At 43.2% G+C, this 22,163-nt stretch overlaps 3 protein-coding genes and 1 long non-coding RNA gene across 20 annotated transcripts in view; 3 read left to right on the top strand and 1 right to left on the bottom strand.

Annotated features, from left to right (window-relative positions):
* ZNF793 (zinc finger protein 793) overlaps positions 1-11,029 on the top strand; it is a 36,906-nt gene extending 25,877 nt beyond the window's left edge. For 12 of the 13 annotated variants that reach the window (XM_047438816.1, XM_047438820.1, XM_047438815.1 and 9 more), the window contains 3 exons: positions 52-178; positions 1,004-1,099; positions 4,593-11,029. In XM_047438816.1, the coding sequence (XP_047294772.1) occupies positions 52-178; positions 1,004-1,099; positions 4,593-5,575 (1,206 nt within the window). In that variant the 3' untranslated portion in view covers positions 5,576-11,029. Of the gene's footprint in view, positions 1-51; positions 179-1,003; positions 1,100-4,160 lie in introns of those variants that run through there. The other variant, XM_047438823.1, reaches the window with a different exon arrangement.
* Positions 547-19,035, bottom strand: LOC124904708 (uncharacterized). Of its 2 annotated transcripts, none has more exons than XR_007067248.1 (2): positions 15,588-19,035; positions 547-1,824 (listed from the first exon to the last, which is right to left on the bottom strand). XR_007067248.1 is itself a non-coding variant. In XM_047439796.1 (2 exons), exon 1 carries the CDS (start codon positions 17,276-17,278, stop codon positions 16,349-16,351), a length of 930 nt encoding a protein of 309 aa, XP_047295752.1. In that variant the 5' UTR covers positions 17,279-19,035; the 3' UTR covers positions 14,364-15,907; positions 16,326-16,348. The 2 variants fall into 2 exon arrangements, 1 of the variants encoding a protein (XP_047295752.1); XM_047439796.1 differs by lacking the exon at positions 547-1,824 and having other exon boundaries at positions 14,364-15,907; positions 16,326-19,035.
* Positions 16,645-22,163, top strand: part of ZNF571-AS1 (ZNF571 antisense RNA 1) — a 38,400-nt gene continuing 32,881 nt past the window's right edge. For 2 of the 4 annotated variants that reach the window (NR_038249.1, NR_038250.1), the window contains exon 1: positions 19,067-19,361. This is a non-coding gene — a long non-coding RNA (ZNF571 antisense RNA 1). Of the gene's footprint in view, positions 16,852-18,557; positions 18,688-19,066; positions 19,362-22,163 lie in introns of those variants that run through there. The other 2 variants (NR_038248.1, NR_038247.1) reach the window with 2 other exon arrangements.
* ZNF540 (zinc finger protein 540) overlaps positions 19,070-22,163 on the top strand; it is a 62,806-nt gene continuing 59,712 nt past the window's right edge. The window contains exon 1 of the mRNA NM_152606.5: positions 19,070-19,361. The gene's annotated coding sequence lies outside the window, so the exon portion shown is untranslated. The remainder of the gene's footprint in view (positions 19,362-22,163) is intronic.

The following is a 22,163-nucleotide window of genomic DNA, read 5'->3' on the forward strand; positions in this document are numbered from 1 at the left end:
TGCACAAACATTTTTTTTCGACATGACTCAATGTCATTTTTGTTTCAACAGATACCTGTGTCATTCAAAGATGTGGTTGTGGGCTTCACCCAAGAGGAGTGGCACCGGCTGAGTCCTGCTCAGAGGGCCCTGTACCGGGATGTGATGCTGGAAACCTATAGCAACCTCGTCTCAGTGGGTAAGAACATCCTCACCATACAATGCAGATTATGTTCGAATGACCACCTTTCCTTTCTCAGTTGCTAAAAGCAACTGGAGTACTTTGGGAGGCCAAGGCAGGTGGATCACCTGAGGTCAGGAGTTTGAAACCTGCCTGGCCAGCATGGTGAAACCCTGAAACCCCATCTCTACTAAAAATACAAATATTATCCAGGTGTGGTGGCGGGCGCCTGTAATCCCAGCTACTCAGGAGGCTAAGGCAGGAGAATTGCTTGAACCCGGGAGGCAGAGGTTTCAGTGAGCCGATATTGCACCATTGCACTCTAGCCTGGGCAACAAGAGCGAAACTGTCTCAAAAAATAAAAAATAAAAAAAAAGCAACGGAAGTACTCTAGAACTTCTGAAATATTTATTTAATAATTATCTAGCACTTTCTATGTGCCAGAAATTGTTTTAGCCACTTTAAAAATATTAACTCATTTCATTCTCATAAAAGCCTTATGAGGTAGTTACTATTAGTACCACTTTTTTACACATTTGGAAATTGAGGTACAGAGAGGTGAAGTAACTTGCCCAGAGTCACCCAGCTAGTAGATAGCAGAGTCAGGATTTGAACCTCAGCATTCTGGCAGCACAGAATGCATTCTTACCTTGTGCTGCTGCCTCAGTGGGTGTGGCTTGAGTTTCCATGGTCCTGGATTACTAATCCCATTTGGTTCTGGACAAGGTGTGTGTTTAGTCCCCTCCCAAGTATAACATCTATTGTGCAGCCTTTAAAGCTGCCTGAGAGGCCCTGAAGACCAAGGAGCTCAGCCCAAGACCTGCATCAATTTCCCCGGAACAGGTTATGAAGGCACCAAACCAGATGTGATCCTCAGACTGGAGCAGGAAGAAGCACCATGGATTGGTGAGGCAGCATGCCCGGGCTGCCACTGTTGGGGTAAGTGTGATAAATCTAGCAAAAGGGGTACTGAAGGAGGCTGGCACCTTTGGAATTTTGTTCAGCATTCTTCTCTTAAAAGCCTTGAAAGTCCTCCGAGAGCTTCAGCCACGTTAATGACTCTTCAACCTCCATGCAACCCCACCGCCCATATCTGAGTGTTTTTCTCGGCTCTACTTGATTGCACCTCTGCCCTTATGTGCTTGGTCCATCTCTCTTTCTCCAGAATCTTTCCCATGCAGGTATTCTTACAAATAAAAGCTTCTATGATTCTCCTGTTCCTGCTTCCTATTCTCTGTTGTGACAAACTTTCCAGATAAAATGCTTCAGAGCTACCTGCTTTCCCTAATTTCTGCACTCAAATTTAAATCACTCCCATAGACAGATGACTGTGGGATCAGAGAAGAGGAAGCAGTGAATTCCATGTTGGGGTGGGGAGGTGTGAAGGAAATGGCTGAGCTGGGCCCATCTTAACCACTGCTGATTAACCCTCAGACTCACTGCCCCTCTCCCTTCAGCTCTGTAAGACATTCCAGCAATATCCATTGTACCCTGAGGGCTGATGGATGGCCCACTCTTAGGGATGCCTCTGAACTTCTGCTTCTGGCGCTCTCTGGAGTGTGTTCCTCCATTAAACTGTGCTCTTCAGCTGTCCTGAGACTGTGGTATCCCGGTTATCAGTTGCCCTCCTCTTCTTTTCTTCTCCTCTTCTGAAAATTTCGTAACTGCAAATTCCACAAGAATGTATCTAGTCAGCCTCCCGTTTTTCCAGCTACTCTGTTACTATCTATTTCCCTGGCTCAAACCCAGCATTTTCCTTCCAAGGAACAATTGCATTTTCTGTTTTCCATAACTTGGTTCTCTTTCCAGTGGTGTAATCCTCTCAAAGAACTCACCCATTCTGAGAGTACATGATTCTCACAACCAGCCCTTTTGCCATGTTGGGCCCTTTTTTCCCCCTTGCACTGCCCACCCCCGCATTTAACCAGTCTGTGGATTACACTACAGGTGTGCACTTACCCTGTTCTTTGTGTGTCAAAAACTAAAATCATCTTTATTTGTCCTTGCTACCCCTGCCACACACACACTCACACTCACACACACACACACACACGCACACACACACACCACTTCATCTTGCTTATTATTCCAGGGCTTTGCTACCGTGTGGTCATTTTGAATCTTCTGCCTTTACCACTCACTCTAACTGTTCCATTCATATGTGTGGTTTTGTTGATTTTTTTTCTTCTGAGAAATGGCTTTAAATCTTCCTCTCTGCTTTTTTTTTTTCTTTTTGAGACAGTGTCTCACTCTGTCACCCAGGCTGGAGTGCAGTGGCATGATCATGGCTCACTGCAGCCTTGACCTCCTGGGCTCAAGCGATCCTCCCACCTCTTAACCTCCCGAGTAACTGGGATTATATTCACGTGCTACCACACCTGGCTAATTTTCATTTTTTTTGTAGAGAAGGGGTTTTGCAGTGCCGCTCAGGCTGGTCTCAAACTCCTGGGCTCAAGCAGTCCACCTGCTTTGGCTTCCCAAAGTGCTGGATTTACTGGCATGAGCCACCATGCCCAGTCCTTCTCCACTTTTTTTTGTTGTTATTGTTCAGATGAAGTCTTGTTCTGTCACCCAGGCTGGAATGCAGTGGTGCCATCTCAGCTCACTGCAACCTCCGCCTCCTGGGTTTAAGCAATTCTCTGCCTCAGCCTCCGGAGTAGCTGGGATTACAGGCACGTGCCACCACCCCCAGCTAATTTTTGTATTTTTAGTAGAGATGGGGTTTCACCATCTTGGCCAGGCTGGTCTTGATCTCCTGACCTCGTGATCCACCCGCCTTAGCCTCCCAAAGTGCTGGGATTACTGGCGTGAGCCACTGCACCCAGCCCCACTTTTAATTTTCCACTGATATCTCCTAAAATGAGACCCAGATTATCTCATGACTGAATGTCTTTAAGTGAGGGGTTATTAATTATTTTTGTGCCATGGACTTCTTAGGCATTCTTTTGAAGGCTATAGACCTCACTTCTATGTATAAAAATATAATAACGTTCATAAGATTATAAAATAAATGACTAAAGTACAGTAATTATCAAAATAAGCTAGAAAATAGTTATCAAAAAAAAATTTTTTTTTTTTTAGATGGAGTTTCACTCTGTCGCCCAGGCCGGAGTGCAATGGCATGATCTCAGCTCACTGCAGCCTCCTCCTCCTGGGTTCAAGCGATTCTCCTGCCTCAGCCTCCCGAGTAGCTGGGACTACAGGTGTGTGCCACCACGCCCAGCTTATTTTCTATTTTTAGTAGAGACTGGGTTTCATCATGTTGGTCAGGCTAGTCTTGAACTCCTGACGTCAGATGATCCACCTGCCTCGGCCTCCCAAAATGCTGGGATTACAGGCGTGAGCCACCGCGCCCAGCTTCAAAATATTTTCAAAATGTGCAATATAATAGTAGATGTACTTTTTCATTTATACGTTAATGAGGCCTAGCATCAGGTCTAATAACTGTCATGATCTCAAAGAAGAGATGATTATAAACATAATAATGTGACATGAAAATAACAATATTCACAAACTAGTATCAAGTCACAGGAACCACTAATACCACTGTGTTTTGTTGCTTATATTCATATTCAAAGGAAATGTTCAATTGTAGTTGGAACTCAGTGAAAACAAAAATGTAATTTCTTTTCTATCAAAGTTCACAAGCCCCCTGTTTTCTGCCAAGTTAAGAACTCTTGCTTAAGTCCTAGTTAGCTTTGTTGATTTTATTTTTTAATCTGTTTCACCTTAGAGTGCTTTACCGTTTATATTGTAACTAACTAGCCCAACATGATATTCCCTTGGATGACTGCTATACCAGTGCTTGTTAAGCTCCAAGGTGTTTGGAATCACCGGGGCATCTTGTTGAAATGCAGAGTCTGATTAAGTAGGTCTGGGGCGGTGCCTTAGATTCTGCACATCTAACAAGCTCCAAGTAAGGCCAAAATTGCCACTTGAAGACCCACATGCTGGATAGCAAGGTACTGTATAACATTTAACCTTCTTTCTTCTGTAACAGGGATCAGCAAACTGTGGCCTACCGATTGGCCACCTGCTTTGTGAATAAAGTTTTATTAGAACACAACCACATTCTTACGTTTACATGTTGTCTATATTTTCATGGTATGGCGGGAGAGTTGAGTCATTGTGACGGAGACCATATGGCCCACAAAGCCTTTACTTTCTGACTCCTTAAGAATAAGTTTGCCAACCTCTGCTCTGTAATATCCTATTTTCTTTGAAATTATTGGTCTCTATACTCTATGATATATTGAATTCCATTTGTGCCAGTGTTCAGAATCCTCTTTACTCATAGAACACTCTTCCCTGCGTTTGTGCTTTGGGTTATGGTTCATGTTCTCTATTTGTGTGCTGTGCACTCTTTAAATTTTGAGAGCATTTCTTAAGTAGTATGAAGTTTCATAAGGATGATTCACTGTACTTTCTCCAGAAGACATCTGGCGAGTTAATATCCAGAGGAAAAGACGGCAAGACATGCTTTTGAGGCCAGGCGCAGCCATAAGCAAGAAAACATTGCCCAAGGAGAAAAGCTGTGAATATAATAAGTTTGGGAAAATATCACTTCTGAGCACTGATCTTTTTTCTTCAATCCAGAGCCCTAGTAACTGGAACCCTTGTGGAAAGAATTTGAACCATAATTTAGACTTGATTGGTTTTAAGAGAAACTGTGCAAAAAAGCAAGATGAGTGTTATGCTTATGGGAAATTGCTTCAGCGTATAAATCATGGTAGACGACCTAATGGAGAAAAGCCCCGGGGTTGCAGTCACTGTGAGAAAGCTTTCACCCAGAACCCGGCACTTATGTATAAACCAGCAGTAAGTGATTCTCTCTTGTACAAACGGAAGAGGGTTCCACCTACAGAAAAACCCCACGTCTGTAGTGAGTGTGGGAAAGCCTTCTGCTACAAGTCTGAATTCATTAGGCATCAGAGAAGTCACACTGGGGAGAAGCCTTATGGCTGCACTGACTGTGGGAAAGCCTTTTCACATAAGTCAACCCTCATCAAACACCAGAGAATTCACACTGGGGTAAGACCCTTTGAATGTTTTTTTTGTGGGAAAGCCTTTACCCAGAAGTCACACCGCACAGAACATCAGAGAACACACACAGGAGAGAGACCCTTTGTCTGCAGTGAATGCGGGAAATCGTTTGGTGAGAAGTCATACCTCAATGTACATCGAAAAATGCACACAGGAGAAAGACCGTATCGTTGCAGAGAATGTGGAAAATCCTTCAGCCAGAAGTCATGCCTCAATAAACATTGGAGAACTCACACAGGAGAGAAGCCCTATGGGTGCAATGAATGTGGGAAAGCTTTCTACCAGAAGCCAAACCTCAGCAGACATCAGAAAATTCATGCTCGGAAGAATGCCTACAGGAATGAAAACTTAATAATTGTGGGAAATACTTGAGCAAAATATCTGGTTTCATGGTATGTAGGGAATTTTTTTTTTTTTTTTTTGAGTTGGAATCTCACTTTGTCACCCAGGCTGGAGTGCAGTGGCGCGATCTCGGCTTACTGCAAGCTCTGCCTCCCGGGTTCACGCCATTCTCCTGCCTCAGCCTCCCGAGTAGCTGGGACTACAGGTGCCCACCACCATGCCCGGCTAATTTTTTTTTTGTATTTTTAGTAGAGACGGGGTTTCACCGTGTTAGCCAGGATGGTCTCGATCTCCTGACCTTGTGATCTGCCCGCCTTGTCCTCCCAAAGTGCTGGGATTACAGGCGTGAGCCACCGCGCCTGGCCGGTATGTAGGGAATTTATCCTTAGGAGAAATCTTATCATTTTAATGAATTTGAACAGTGTGTTTTTATTTTATTTATTTATTTATTTTGAGTTGTATTCTCTGTTTCCCAGGCTGGAGTGCAATGGCACTATCTCGGCTCACTGTAACCTCAGCCTCCCAGGTTCAAGCAGTTCTCCTGCCTCAGCCTCCCAAGTAGCTGGGATTACAGGCACCTGCCACCACGCCTGGCTAATTTTTGTATTTTTAGTAGAGATGGGGTTTCACCATGTTGGTCAGGCTGGTCTCTTTGGCTAGGCTGGTCTCGAACTCCTGACCTCGTGATACCCCCCAACCCCCCGCCCTTGGCCTCCCAAAGTGTTGGGATTACAGGCATGAGCCAACGCGCCCAACCGACAGTGTTGTATCATAATGGAAATCATGATCTAATTGTGATACAAACTTTTCTAGAAAATACTTTCTCAAACATAAGCATGGACACCCTGGCATGTAAACGTTTAAAAATGTATTAAATGGAATAACAGCAGAATACAAAATATCTGTGAAGAGACTTAAAGGCATACTCTGGTATATTCCACAGTGAGCCATACAATCAGCATTATTTGTATTTTGGAGTTGTAAATGTGAAATTAACATAAAATGTGAATATCAGACACATGTCACACAACATATAGAATGCCATTCAGAAAACTTTTCCACTTTAAATATCATCATTGTCTTTTGATGTCTTAACAATACAAAAAAATAACAACAACATGGCCCACTATTGTTAAAAGAACTTTATTATACCAGCTACATTTTTCCACCTTTTTGTAATACATGTAAATGGCTATAGAGGTTGTTACTGTCCTCTGCAGAAATAATAAAGCAGTGTTTTTAAATGTATTTGGATAATTTGGCCAAAAATTTTACTAAAATGTAGTTATTTATATTAAAAATGCAAGCTAAGGAATAGTTTAAGAACCTGATACTGGGTAAATGAAACACTGTAAACTATTTGACAAAATGTAGTGTCACCCTGGTGTACAGTACACTGTTCATATTTTCTTAGTCTTGCTTAAAATATCTTGTAGCAAATTAGTAGCATTGCTACACTATTCTAGATACACTATTCTATATACAGGTTGTATAACTCAGAAATGTTTCATGCGTAGACCACTGAAGGAGAATTTCTTTTCTCTCTATCCCTCTGCAAATTAATTCAAGAATATTCATTTTTTTCATATAAATTTCCTTGCAAGTGTCCTAGACACTAAATCCCAAGGTTTTAATTATTTCAATGTTTGGAAAGAAGTCTGCTTCCCTGAGTTGCTATGTCATCCATATTAGAAAATAAATGGCCATGTGGAATCTACATTTTTCAAGATTTCCCTCCATGTAAGACTGCCTGATCCAGAATGAGAAAGGAGACATAACCACAGATATCAATATGATTTTTTAAGTGATAAAAAGATACCTCATACAACTCTAATCAACATATTTTTTAAAAAGAGGAGGTGGATGCTTTTCTAATAAACTTAAGTTATGAAAACTGCAATAAGAAGTAGAAAACTTGGTAGGATAGTTAACATTGAAAAACTCAAAAAAGCTATTAAAGATCTATAATGGGAAAATGCTCCAGGCTCAGAAGAGTTCATGCTTAGTTCTATCTTTTAAAGAAAGAGTAATACCAGTGTTATTTATTATATGGATGTAATACAATCCATGAACTGTACTCATTTATTTTATTAAGTCAGAATAAATTTTAACACCAAAATCAAATACAGATAGTTGAAAAAAGAAAACTTCTGCTGGGTGCGGTGGCTCACGCCTGTAATCCCAACACTTTGGGAGGCCGAGGCAGGTGGATCATGAGGTCAGAAGTTCGAGATGGTGAAACCCCATCTCTACTAAAAATACAAAAATTAGCCGGGTGTGGTGGCACACACCTGTAGTCCCAGCTACTTGGGAGGTTGAGGCATGAGGCAGGAGAATTGCTTGTACCCAGGAGGTAGAGGTTGCGGTGAGCCAAGATCGTGCCATCCAGCCTGGGTGACAAGAGCGAAACTCCGTCAAAAAAAAAAAAAAAAAAAGAAAACTTCAGACCAGTCTTACTCATGAATATAGAAACAAAAATTATAGTTAAAATACTAGCAAATAGAATTCAGCCATATACCCAAAGAGTGACATAGTAAGAGTCATCCCAAGAATGCCAAACCAGTTCAGTTAATAGGAAATGCATCAATCAAATTAACAGTTTAAAGGAGAAGAATCATATGAACTCTCAACAGATACTGAGAAGGCATTTCATAGAATGTGTTAATTTACATTGTAATAGATGGGAACCACTTAAAGCGGTTTTTCTTAAAAAAAATTTTTTTTAACCCAAACCCCAAAGCATATATTATGCCAAAGCCATTTTTTAAAATCAGGAATTCAATATTGGCTTAGAGATTCCAGTGAAGGCAATAAAAAGAAATGAATTGGTATAAACAGCAGAAAAGGTAAAACTATCCATTTTTACTGATGATATGGTTGTACACCAATAAATGAAAAGACTATTTTTTGAGTTAACTTTTCTAAGAAGACAGGGTACCAAAATCAAGAGCTGTTCTCCATACTGACAAGAAAACATAATTTATATGTACTTCTTTTGGAATTACACTAAATCTCAATGATTTTTTGACAATCATTGAAAAAAATATATGAAAAAAATCATACCATGTATAAAAACATCACATGTACCCAATAAATATATACAACAATTATATATCTATAATAATTAAAAATTTTTAAAATGCCATGCTAGATACCAGAAGATAACATGAAGCCATTCTAATGAAATTAATATTGTATTGGCAAAGGAACAGGTAAATACATCATTAGAACACAGTAGAAAATTCAGAAATAGACTTCGATATATATGAACTTTTTCATATGTGAAAAAGGTGAAATCTGAAACCACAGGGGAAAAGAGTAGTTTACTTAAAAAGAATTCTGGAACAGAACCTTTTAATCTTAAAGGAAGAAAATTTGGATTAACAGCACAAAAATAAATTCTGGGTGGCTTTAAGACGTAAAATTTTAAAGCAACAGAATTCTTAAAAGAAAATCAAAGGAGCCTATGTGTACAATCTAGGAGTTGGGAGATATTAACTTTACCAACACAGGACACTCAGAAGCTATTTAGAAATAAGCAGTTGAAGGCTGGGTGCAGTGGCTCATGCCTGTAATCCCAACACTTTGGGAGGCTGAGGCAGGAGGATCACCTGAGGTTAGGAGTTCAAGACTAGTCTGGTCAACATGGTGAAACCCCATCTCCACTAAAAATACAAAAATTAGCTGGGTGTGGTGGCACATGCCTGTAGTCCCAGCTACTTGGGAGGCTGAGGCAGGAGAATCACTTGAACCTGGAAGGCAGGGGTTGAAGTGAGCTGAGATTGCACCACTGCACTCCAGCCTGGGCAACAGAGCAAGACTCCATCTCAGAAAAAAAGAAAAAGAAAAAAAAAAGGAAACAAACATTTGACTACGTAGAATCTTTTGGTACAATCTTTTGGGTGACAAAAGATGCCATCAGCAAACTCAAGAGATAATAGATTGTGGGGAAATATTTGTAAAGCTGATCAGAGAGAAGGCATTCATGAAATGGACAGGAAAAAAACCCAATAGCAAAATGTGGCAAAGAATATGAGTTGACAGTTGTGAGAAGAGCAAATCTAAGTGGCCAATGGACCTGTCCAAAAATGTTTATCCTCAGTAGTCACTGGGGGATGCAGATTTAAAGTTAAAATCAAATAACACTGTGTAACAGCATTTTTAGCTATCAGAACAAAAGATGTTACACACTGCTGGTGGAGAAATAAATTTTGAAAAACAATGCAAATTACTGTTTTGGAAAGAAATCTGGTAATATTTAGGCTGGGCGTGGTGGCTCACACCTGTAATCCTAGCACTTTGGGAGGCCGAGGCAGGCAAATTGTCTGAGGTCGGGAGTTCGAGAACAGCCTGGCCAGCATGGTGAAACCCCGTCTCTACTAAAAATACAAAAATTAGCTGGGCATGGTGGCAGGCACCTGTGATCCCAGCTACTCGGGAGGCTGAGGCAGGAGAATCACTTGAACCCAGGAGGCAGAGGTTGCAGTGAGCCAAGATCGCGCCATTGCACTCCAACCTGGGCAACAGAGCAAAAAGATTCCATCTCAAAAGAAAAGAAAAGAAATCTGTTAATATTATTAAAATATTTATGTCACTTTGGAGAATCTTCCCTTAGAAGTAAAAGCTCCAATACATAAAAGACAGATGAACATGTGAACATGGACATTTATTGTAAAAATTGTTCTTAATGGCAAAAAAACCCCCAAAACCAAAGCAAACACTAGAATCAAAGTAAATACCCATCAACTGGGAAATTGTAGAAAGGAAAAAACTATAGTGTATCCATTCCATAGAATGTTAATATAGCCATTAAGGTGGACAAATTAAAACTATGCTAGTGGACTTGAGTGGAATTCCACAATGTTCTCTTGAGTGAAAAATGCAAGGTAGATATTAAGTATGTTAAATATGACTCCATTTTTTTAAATCATTAACAAAATGTCTCTAGGTGTTTGTCAGCAATAAACGGTATCTATATATGTTTATTTGATTTTATGTGCATGAAGAAAAGTATAGAAGAGTATGCATTGACTTGGAGGGAGGTGGGTAATGCAGGTAGGTTATGGGGGAGTCAGGGGTGTAGGGAAAAGGAAAACCAAAAAAGAAAAATACATAAATGACTGAATCACGGGTGATACCACAAATGTGTGAGTTAGTAAATTTGGCTGGGGATGGGGGAGCTAGAATTTTGCTAATTTGTGGGGATGTTCATGGTATATATTGTAAAAAGGGAAAATTTCATAATAATGTATACGATTCTATTTTTAAAAAAAGTAAAAACTCCTGTGTGTGTATATATGCATGTGGATGTTTATATGAACATAGAAAAGTGTAGAAGAATACACACGAAGGTGTTAACATTCATTGGTTACCTTGGTGGAGAAGGGTAATAAGTTTTCTGAATACCTTTGCATTGTCTTGTTCACATATATTGCTTTTGTAATTTGAAAAACAAAATAAAGGGGGAAAACATTTCAAACTGAATGAAGCCTTGAAAATGTTTCCATTTTCTGACAAGATGGCACCCTGACTTGGTCTAGGGTTGAGGTTAGGGTTATGGAAATGACGTCTTGTCACCTTTGCTGCATTCTACTAGAAACAAGTCATAGGTCCCAGCCATACTCAAAGAGAAGGAATTATACATGAGAGTAATTTCCTTCTCCAGACTACCAGGCAGCAGAGATCATTGGGGGCCATCTTGGAGTCTACCCACCTCATCAGCGAAACACTTATTTGAAACTAGGGAGGAGTGAGGATGGCAACTGTGTTGGAACAGTAGTTTAAGTAAGCCACATACTTGCTGCTGGGCACCATGAGTGCACAGATTCTAGATGTGCTTGCTGGAAGTTCTCCACTAAACAGAAGTATTCATTTATCCACAAGTATATACTGAGTGCTTACTATGAACTGGACACTGTTCTAGGATCTGGGGATAAAGCAGTAAACAGAAAGAAATGTTGATAATTGTCAAGAAGCAAAATGAAATAGGAGGGGAGTTAAATTTTAGATGCAGTAACCAGGAAAGCCCTCAAAATGATCTCTGCATTAAGACCTAAAGGGAATGAGAGATGTAATAATGCAACTGTCTAGAAAATTGTATTCTAGGCAGAGGGAACAGCAAATGCAAAAATGCAAACACCCTAAGGGAATGTGTCTGGAGTGTTGGAGACCAGAAAGGAAGGTGTATTCTTGTTGAATAACAAATTGTCCCCCAAACTTAGTGACCTAAAACAACAATAAACGTCTCACATGCTGTCTATGGGTCAGGAATTTTGAAAGTGCCATTGGATTCACACTCCCCTTAGCTGTGCTTCTTCCCTCTCACTCTGCCCTTCCGAAGTCTTTGTCCAAGCTATCTCTCTTTCCAGACCAGCACACAGGAGGGCCAGTGCCATTTGCGCTTATGGGAAGGAAGGAGTCCCCTCTGCCATGGCCTTTCTGTGTTCCTCCACCCAGCAGTGGAATCGAAGCTGTTCAGCACCTTCTCCAAAATATTGGCGCCCAATATACCCTACCATTCACCAATGAGAGCAGGTTGCAGACCACTACTGTCTTTCTCCGTCTTTCTTTTCCTTTTTTTTTTTTTTTTTGAGACGGAGTCTCACTCTGTCGCCCAGGCTGGAGTGCAGTGGCATGAGCTTGGCTCACTGCAACCTCTACCTCCCGGGTTTCAGCGATTCTCCTGCCTCGGCCTCCCAACATGCTGGGATTACAGGCGTGAGCCACCACGCCTGGCTAATTTTTGTATTTTTAGTAGAGACGGGGTTTCACCATGTTGGTCAGGCTGGTCTTGAACTCCTGACCTCAAGCAATTCACCCACCTCGGCCTCCCAAAGTGCTGGAATTAGAGGCGTGAGCCCCCACGCCCGGCCTACTGTTTTTCTTATGACTAGCACTATATTGATGGAGAGGAGATGCGGGCAGTGGTTTCCTGCAGAAGTGACAGCCTCAGAGTGGGGTTCCAACAGAAAGGATGGTAGCAGGTCATTGTCAACTGTGTATCCCTACCTAGAACAACCAAAACCTTGGGGTCAGAAAAAGATAGGCTGGGGGTATTGTAGGACACATCTTTGAAAATGGTCGTCCCCAGGGAGAAACAGCTAAATGGGTGCAGCTACCTGGTTTCACCGCATAGACGCAATTAATTACTCAGCATCTCACACTATAATGGGGCGCCCTGGGCATTTAGCTACACAGCGGAAAGCCACACCTGAGTGTGTGTGGCAGCCTTGGGGCGAGGTGGAGAGGGTTGTTGCAGTGGCCCTGCCGCCACAGAAGGAGAGATGTCCTTTGAGGAAACCATGGCAATGTGTGGTCTTGCGGAGAGATGGGGCTTAGGAATTGGATGCAATTGACTGAAAATGGGAAGTGGGTGGCAGGAATGGGGTTTAGGAATTGGGGGAGGAGAATCAGTTCTGGGATGTAGTGATAAAGAGGTCCAAGGAATGATTGCATGCAGATACTTGGTTTTCAATGATTCAGGAGTCCAGAGAAGGCTATAATTGGTATGGGTGTCCCAGTGGGTCAGGTATCCGAGGTCTTGGAATTTGGGAGAGTGGTAGTCTCTGGGATATGGGATGTGGGGAGTCTAAGGAGTCAATAAGGGATCTAAAGGGTTGGTGATAGGTGACTTCTTTATTGTGGTAAAATACATAAATAATACAATTTACCATTTAAATCACTTTAAAGTGTATAATTCAGTGACATTATTACACTTACGGTGTTGTGCAACCATCACTACAATCTAGTTCCAGAAATTTTTCATCACCCCAAAAAGAAACCCTGTATCCATTAAGCAGTCACTTCCCATTCTTCCCACCCCTTCCTTCCCCAAACTCCTGGCATCCACTAATCTGCTGTCTCTAGTCTCTAATGATTTACCTATTCTGGATATTTCATATAAATAGAATTACACAGTATATAGCGTATTAACAAACTGTCCTCAAAGTTCCTTCATGTTGTAACATGCCTCAGTACTTCATTCCTTTTTATGACTGAATAATATTCCATTGCATGGGTAATACCATCAGTTGGTGGACATTTGAGTTGCTTCCAATGAGAGGATTATCTGAGTATTGTGAAATGTACTGCTATGAACATTCTTGTACAAGTTTATGTTTAAACACCTTATTCAATTATTTTGGGCATATACCTAGAAGTGAAATTGCTGGATTATATGGTAATTCTATGATTAACTTATGAAGAAATAACCAAACTGTGTTTTTTTTTTACAGTGGCTGTACCTTTTTATATTACAACCAGTAATGCACAAGGGTTCCAGTTTCTTCACAACCTCGCCATCCATCATTTGTTATAATCATGTGCCACATAATGATGTTTTGGTCAATGAGGGACCACATATACAGTAGTGGTCCCATAAGATTATAGCAGAGCTGAAAATTTTCTTTTTATAAAATTGTATTTATTATTATTATTTTTTTTCCAACTTTTATGGAGCTGAAAAGTTTATACTGCCTAATGACATTTTGATGATCCTGGCACTGTGTGTACCTAGGCTAATGTGTTTGTGTCTTAGTTTTTAACAAAAAAGTCTGGAGGCTGAGGCAAGAGAATTGCTTGATCTGCCCTATTAATTGCAATTTTCACAGTTAACTAGTACTATTTTTATTTAAATAATATTACCTGGGAAGCGGAGGTTGCAGTGAGTTAAGATCACGCCACTGCACTCCAGCCTGGGCGAGAGAGTGAGACTCTGTCTCAAAATAAAATAAAATTAAATTAAAATAAAAAAATTAAAAAAATTTTTAAGTAGAAGATTATAGAATAAGGATATAAAGAAAATATTTGTGTACAGCTATACAATGTGTTTGAAGCTAATTTATTACAAGAGAGTCAAAACATTTTTAAAAATTAAAAGGTTTATAAAGAAATTATAGTAAGCTAAGGTTAATTTATTACCGACAAAAAAATTCAAATAAATTTAGTGTAGCCTAAGCATACAGTACATATAAAGTCTACAGTAGTATACAGTACTGCCCTAGCCTTCACATTCACTCACCGCTCAGTCACTGACTCACCCGGAGTAACTTCCAGTCTTGCAAGCTCCATCCACGGTAAGTGCTGTATACCGGTATACGATTTCTTATCTTTTATACCATATTTTTACTGTACCCTTTCTATGTTTAGACATGTTTAGATACACAAATACCATTGAGTATAATTGTTTACAGTATCCAGGCAATTTGGATTTGTAGCCTCGAAGTGATAGGCTGTACCATCAGGCTACATCATCTAGGTTTGTGTATGTACACTCTATAATGTTCACATAATGATGAAGTCACCTAACCATGCATTACTCAGAAAGTATCCACAGAATTACACAATGCATGACCATATTTACATTCTGCTTTTTAAAAATCTTAAATTAGGCTGGATGTGGTGGCTCACGCCTGTGATCCCAACACTTTGAGACACCAAGGCAGGCAGATCACTTGAGCCCAGGAGTTTGAGACCAGCCTGGGCAACATCGCAAAACCCCATCCCAACAAAAAAATACAAGAAATTAGCTGGGTGTGGTGATGCACACCTGTGGTCCCAGATACTCAGGAGTCTGAGGCAGGAGGATTATCTGAGCCTGGAGAGGTGGAGTCTGCAGTGAACCATAATTGCACCACAGCACTCCAGACTGTGTGACAGAATGAGACCCTGTCTCGAAAAAAATCTTAAATTTATGTATCTTAAGAATATACATTAATATAGAGTTTAAATATCAAATAAAGAGGGTTTTTTAAAGTTGAAACAATGTATCAGAGGATAAAAAACCATAAAACATTTGTTTAAATTTAAAGGATTTGTTTAATCTGCCCTATTAATTGCAATTTTCACAGTTAACTAGTACTATTTTTTATTTAAATAATAGTATGTATGTAACAGAATAGTAAAGATGTAACCTGTGGATGCTGTTTTACAGCAGCAGAAACTGGAACACATGCAGTCTCATGATTGTCCTACTCTTTTGCCAGATCATTGCATTGTCTGCCCAGGCACCCCTCATCCCATCTCTCTCCATCCCTTTTCTTACCTTTTCATGTTCCTTGTCTTTTCATGACAGCATTTATCAATGTCTGAAAGTAGAATGTTGTTGATTGACTCTCTCTTCAACTAGAACATAAGCAATGAGCGGCCCAGCCTTTGTCCCACACACTGCAGTGTGTCCCACTTCTAAGAAAGTGTCCAACACACAGCAGGAACTCAGTCAGCATTTCTTGAATGAATTAAGTGAAGTGATGCATACAGGCCACATTCTGAGCTGCTGGAGGAGCCAGTAGTTGATTACCAAACTCTAGTCCTTTATCTTGGTGTCCTGATGTCCTGACTGATACACAGTTTGTAGGCAAATAGCTGGTGGGGTTTAGTAGTATGGGATAGAATAAAGGGAGATGTAATTGGGACACTCTCCACATTATCTGCCCCCATGAAAAGCTAGTTCCAGGTGTTGCCATCTCTGCCCCACACTGGGCTTGCCTTAGTCCTCGTTCCCGCCTTTTCCAGACAGCAGTGCTGAGAAGCAGGAGCCCCTGAGCTTGGAGACGCAGGAAGAGCCCTGGGAGGCCCAGATCAAAGGGAGGCAGTCAGCTCATGGAGCCGAGGAATGTTCTGCTGACACCCACCCCGAGGGTATCCGGTATGTTTCTGTGCACCAGCGACCCCTCCACACCTCACCAGATTGGTTCCCCAGCCCCGTGGGACCCAATTCCGGGTCAATTCCAATTTGATTCCAGTCCAGAATCAAATCAGAAGAGCAATCCCGAGTGCCCACCTCACGGTCTGAAGCACCTCCTCCTACACCCGGACCCAAACACGAGGTCGGCTCAAGGAGGCACTGAGGTCACGACAGTCAGGGTCCTGCGCTGCTTGTCGCATGCAGTCTCCTTCCCCGAACCGCCGCCTGCACGGCCTCCACTGTTTTCCTATTGGGCTGCAGCCTGAGAGCCCTGACAATGCGGCCCACAAACCGGGAACGCGAAAGTGCACGTACCAGGCGCGATCACCAGGCGCTAGCGCTGAGGGGGGACTCGCGTCACAGTAACCGCCACCGTTGCCGGGGGACTGGCCCCAGCGGCTTGGCCCCCAGGCGTCTGTGGCAGTGCGTCCCCTCTCCGCGGGATCGTCGCCATGGTCCTGCGATCCTAGGAGTCGGGCAAGGCCGAACCTGCCTGAAGAAACCTCAAGCGGAGATTCAAGGAAGCACCACGTGATCCCTAAGGATCCCAAAGATGCGTCGGGCATGCATGGGCGGTGTGAGGGTGCGTCTCCCTGACAGGTGTCCCCGCTGGGATTTCGAGGTACGGCCTGCCTGTGTTCCCCGGGGCGCTCTCTTTCCGGAGGGGTTTCCTGGCAGAGAGCAGAACCGCGCAGCCTCAGGAGCTGCCTGGCTGTGTGTGTTTCTGTGCGACTGTTGGATGTTTCCGTGTGTCTTTCTGTGTGTGCGTGTGAGTGTGTGTGTGGTGTGCGGTGAAAGAAATGTGGCTCGTGCAGTGAAGCGCGGTTTCTCTGTAGTTCGCCTACGCTCTGATGCGCCCGTCTCTTTGGCCGGGCTTGGGTTGCGGGGCAAGCGTTCTTTGTTTCGCTCTTGGTTCCTAAAGCCTCGGTGAAGTGGGGGGCTGGCTGCGACCCGCAAACGTCCAAATCACCTCCCCTCCCAAGCCGCCCACTCTTCCAGAAAGAAGACCAGCACACGACAACCAAGAACAAATTCCTCCAGGGGCCCATGGTCCTGCGGCACACCCAAGGCTGGACGGACCCTAGCTGTCCTGTCCTCAGTACCCCCTTGAGCCCACTTCTAATTCGGTGGCTGGCGGAGTCGCAGCTTCAGGACCTGAGGCGGGCACTCCTTCATCCTCTTCAGATTTCATTCTGGATTAAAGGATGTGTGCAGAAAAAAGGTCAGATGGGGGTGAAGATACAATCCGCTGAGGTGTGGAGGAGGTCTCGCACCTTCACCTGCAGAACAGGTGCAGACAGATGTCAAAGAAACTGTTTCCAACGCCATCCCCTTTTCCTCTTCACTGTACAACCTGTCCACACCATGGCGCTGTGCTGGCGATAGAAGACACGAGTGTTCGGAGAACCTTTGGACCGAAGACTGTCGCCTTTCTGGCCAGGTCCCCTGTTGGACCCTGGTTCCCCGAGGCACATGGGAGTGGGATGGATTGATCCTGCCTGGGCTGCGGCCTCTACTCTGTTCTCCCTCTTTTCTTGCCTTCCCTGATTCTCGTCGGCCCAGGTTTTCCTTGGTCTGGCTCACAGTCCTCCAGAACGTCCTTCACAGCAAATGTTTCCCAGTTCGTCCAGGACCACCTTGGCGGGGACGTAGGTGATGAGTGTTTCCTTCTCAACACTCACATTTCTTAATGACTGGGTAGCTGTGATGCTCTTGGAACCGTGGGTGCCCGTAGCTTTCCCCAATAAGGAAACTCTTGGTCTCCCCATTGCATCAGATGGCTGCATGATTCACATAGAATGAGAGGTAGCCAGCCGTAGCTGGCCTTTGCCTTCTAATGAAGGCTATGTTTCATCTCATCTGCTGGTGTTTTCTCATTGTTGAGGGGTCTCCCATTGCTCTGTTCCTGGCTGGGACTGCCTCTCAGCACTGCACCTTTTCGTTGCCAGGGATTTCACGGAGCAAAAGGGACTGGGGGTTAGCTGGGTGTAGACCCGGTGGTGGGTTGTGATCCCGGTGTGGGTGCTGGATCACTTTGCAGGATCCTCTTGGCTCCTCTGGCAGGAATCCCTGGAGGAGGCTTGGACTCCGGCACAGGCCCTCCTATGGTTTCAGGTGTGCTTTGCTTGTGCTTCGCTTTCTTGGGGGTATCCTCAGTGGCCCTCGCCAGCATGCCTGGATATCCCTTTTGGGCTTGGATTCACCCCAGAAGGCCTCTGAGACACTCTCTCCACATTTTCTGCCCCCATGGGATGCCAGTTTTAGGTGTTGCCACCTCTGCTTCACATCGGGCTTGACTTTGTCCTTGTTCCCGCCTTTTCTGGACAGCAATGCTGAGAAGCCGAAGGCCCTGGTCTTGGAGACCAGGACAGGGCCCTGGGAGGCCCAGGTCGAAAGGGGGCCAGTCAGCTCATGGGGCGAGGGAATGTCCTGCTCACACCCTCCACTGGGGTCTCAGGTATGTTTTCCTACCCCAGCGACCCCTCAACTCCTCACCAGATTGGATCCCCAGCCCCATGGGACCTGATTCCTGCCCACACCCTCCAATCTAGAATCAAATCAGAGAGCAGTCCCGAGTGCCCACCTCAAGGTCTGAAGCGCCTCCTCCTCCACCCAGACCCGTACACGAAGTGGGCTGAAGGAGGCACTGAGGTCAGGACTGTCAGGGTCCTGCGCTGCTGGTCTCACGCAGCCTTCTTCCCCGGGCCGCAGCCAGCACGGCCTCCACCGTTTTCCTATGGGCCCTGAGAGCCCTGACGTTGCGGCAGCGCCAGCCGGGCACGCGAATGCGCATGCGCCAGGCGCGCGTCACCAGGCGCGACGGCTGAGCCGGGGCTCGCGTCACAGTGACAGCCACCGTTGCCTGGGGACGGGCCCTAGCGGCTTGGCGGAGCTGGAGCCCTCCCTGGCAGTGCGTCGGCGCTGGGCTATGGCCCCCTCCTCTCCGGGGGATCGTCGCCTTGGTCCCCCGACCCTAGGAGTCGGGCAGGGCAGAACCAGGCTAAAGAAACGTCCAGCGTAGCTTCAAGGATGCACCGCGTGATCCCTATCGGATCTCCCCGACGCGTCAGGCCTGCCTAGACGGTGCTGGGAGCGCGTCTCCTTGAACGTTGTCCCGCCTGGGATTGCGAGGTAGGTACCGCCTGCCTGTGTGTACCGGGGCTGCTGTCTCCGGGGAGGGGCTTCTGGCGGACAGGAGAACCAAGCAGCCTCAGGAGCTGCCTGGGTGTGTGTGTTTCTGTGCGAGTGTTGCATATCTCTGTGTGTGTTTCTGTGCAAGTGTTGCATGTCTGTGTGTGTGGGGGGGGTGGTGTCTGGTGAAAAGAATGTGTCTCGTGCGGTGGAGCGCCGTTTCTCTGTAGTCCGCGGGCTCTCTTATGCGCCCTCTTGTGGTCCCAAGTGTGCTTTTCTTGTTTTTCGCTTTCTTGGGGGTCATTGATTTCAGCTCTAAGCTTAATTCCTTTTCTGAGTCTCACCTGTTTCTTTAAGTGGGAACTTAAACCATTGATATGTATTTAAAAGCATACATTTCCCTCAAAGTGCTGCTTTAGTTGCATTCCACAAAATTTTATATGCTGTTATTTTTGACTCCAAATAGGTAATTTTTTACTTGTCCCATAGTTTACTTAAATGTGTGTTGCTTAATTTGCAAACATTTTTTAATTTTGACATTAATTTCTGGCTTAATTCTACTGTGGTTAGAAAACAGATTTTCTGATTTCAATCCTTTTCAATATATTGACAATTTATGGCTCAGAATATAAACAAGCTTGCTAAAGTTCTTTGTATAAGTGAAAACACTGCTGCTGCTCTTAGGTGGACTAGTCTATAAGTATCAATTACAACAAGTTGGCTATTAGCACCGTTCAGGTATCTTATATCTTTATAGATTTTCTATATACTTTTAAAAGTTAATGAGAGAACAGTATTAAAATCTCAAAATATGATTCTGAGTTCATTTATTTTTATTTCTAGCAGTTTTTAATGTATTGTTTAGTTCTGGTACTAGGCACAAGTACTTGTATGATTGCTTTGTCTTCTTGGTCAATACACTTCTATAGTATTATAAAATATGCCTTTTTAGAATAAATCCCTGGTAATATTCTTTGTTTCAAAGACAATTTGTTGTGAGGGCCGGGTGCAGTGGGTCATGCCTGTAATCCTAGCACTCTGGAAGGCTGAGGTGGTGGGATCACTTGGAGTCAGGAGTTTGAGACCAGCTTGGCCAACATGGTGAAACCCCATCTCTACCAAAAATACAAAATTAGCCGAGTGTGGTGGCGTGCGCCTGTAGTCCCAGCTACTCGGGAGGGTGAGGCAGGACAATGACTTGAACTCGGGAGGTAGAGGTTGCAGTGAGCCAAGATGGCACCACTGCACTCCAGCCTGGGTGACGGGGTGAGACTCTGTCTCGAACAAAAAAAGACAATTTGTTTTATGTTCACATAGCCATTTTGGTATAGTGTTTGCATGGTGTTTTTTTTTTTTTTTTAACTTTTAACCTATTTGAGTTGGTATATACTTTTGACTTTTTAATCCGAGTCTTCATATTTTAATCTTTTTTTATATAACCTAACATCTTTTTTTTTTTTTTTTTTTTTTTTTTTTTTTTTTTTTTGGAGACAGTCTCGCCTTTGTCACCTAGGCTGGAGTGGAGTGGCATGATCTCGGCTCACTGCAACCTCCACCTCCTGGGTTCAAGCGATTCTCCTGCCTCAGCCTCCTGAGTAGCTGGGTTACAGGTGCCCACCACCACGCCTGCCTAATTTTTGTATTTTTAGTAGAGATGGGGTTTCACCATGTTGGCCAGGCTGGTCTCAAACTCCTGACTTCAGGTGATCCGCCCACCTTGGCCTCCCAAAGTGCTGGCATTACAGGCATCAGCCACCACGCCTGGCTTTCTTCTGTGTTTTTTTACTGAAGTATTTAGGCCATTAACATTGTTTGTAATTATTGATATATTTGGGTTTGTAACAATCATCTTGCTCTTTATTCTGTTTCTCTTATCTATCCTTAATTCTTTTTCTAATTTTCTGCCTATTTTTGTATTTTTTAAATTATATTCTATTTTACTTCTACTACTGGCTAAATATTACGGCACTTTTTAGAATTTTGAGTGCTTTTTTTCCTAGAGGCTTTCAACATTCATTTTTAGCTTTCAATGTCTAGTTTTACATATTATACCCTATCGTATATTTGCTGGGATCTCACACAAATAATACTTCCATTCCACCTTCTCACCTTTGAGCCATTTTCATATTTTAATTGCCACAAATATTACCATCCCTATACTACATTATTGATTTTGCATTAAAAACTCAATTACTTTTTCAAGAGAATATGAGGAAAACAATATTTACTCATATTTAACTTTTCTGTTAATTTCCATTCGTATGTATGAATCCATGTTTCCATCTGCATTTGTTGGTGATGAATTCTCTTACCATTCATTTCTTTTTTCATTTGAAACTATTATTTTAGGGTCAGGGAGTACACATGCAGGTTTGTTACATTGGCAAACTGCATATCCCTGGGGTTTGGTGTACAAATGATTTTGCCACCCACATAGTGAGCATAGTAGCTGACAGTTTTTTGACCTTCACATTCCTTCCACCCTCCACTCTCAAGCAGGCCCTGGTGTTTATTGTTCCCATCTTTGTGTCCATGTGTACTCAATGTTTAGCTTCTACTTATAAGTGAGAACATAACAGTATTTGGGTTTCTGATCCTGCATGCCTTCACTTAACGGCCTCCAGCTGTGCCCATGTTGCTGCAAAGAACACAATTTCTTTTTTCCCTGAGGCTTTAGCTTTCATTTGTTTATAAAAGTTTTCACTTTTTTCATATTATTACCAAGTGCAGAAATACCAGATAGAGTTTCCTCCCTATTCCTTTCTCTGCTAGCTTGCATAGATTCTCACAAGGAGTTTATGA

This window comes from Homo sapiens, chromosome 19 (genome assembly GCF_000001405.40).
Source record: "Homo sapiens chromosome 19, GRCh38.p14 Primary Assembly".
NCBI classification, from domain to species: Eukaryota; Metazoa; Chordata; class Mammalia; order Primates; family Hominidae; genus Homo; species Homo sapiens.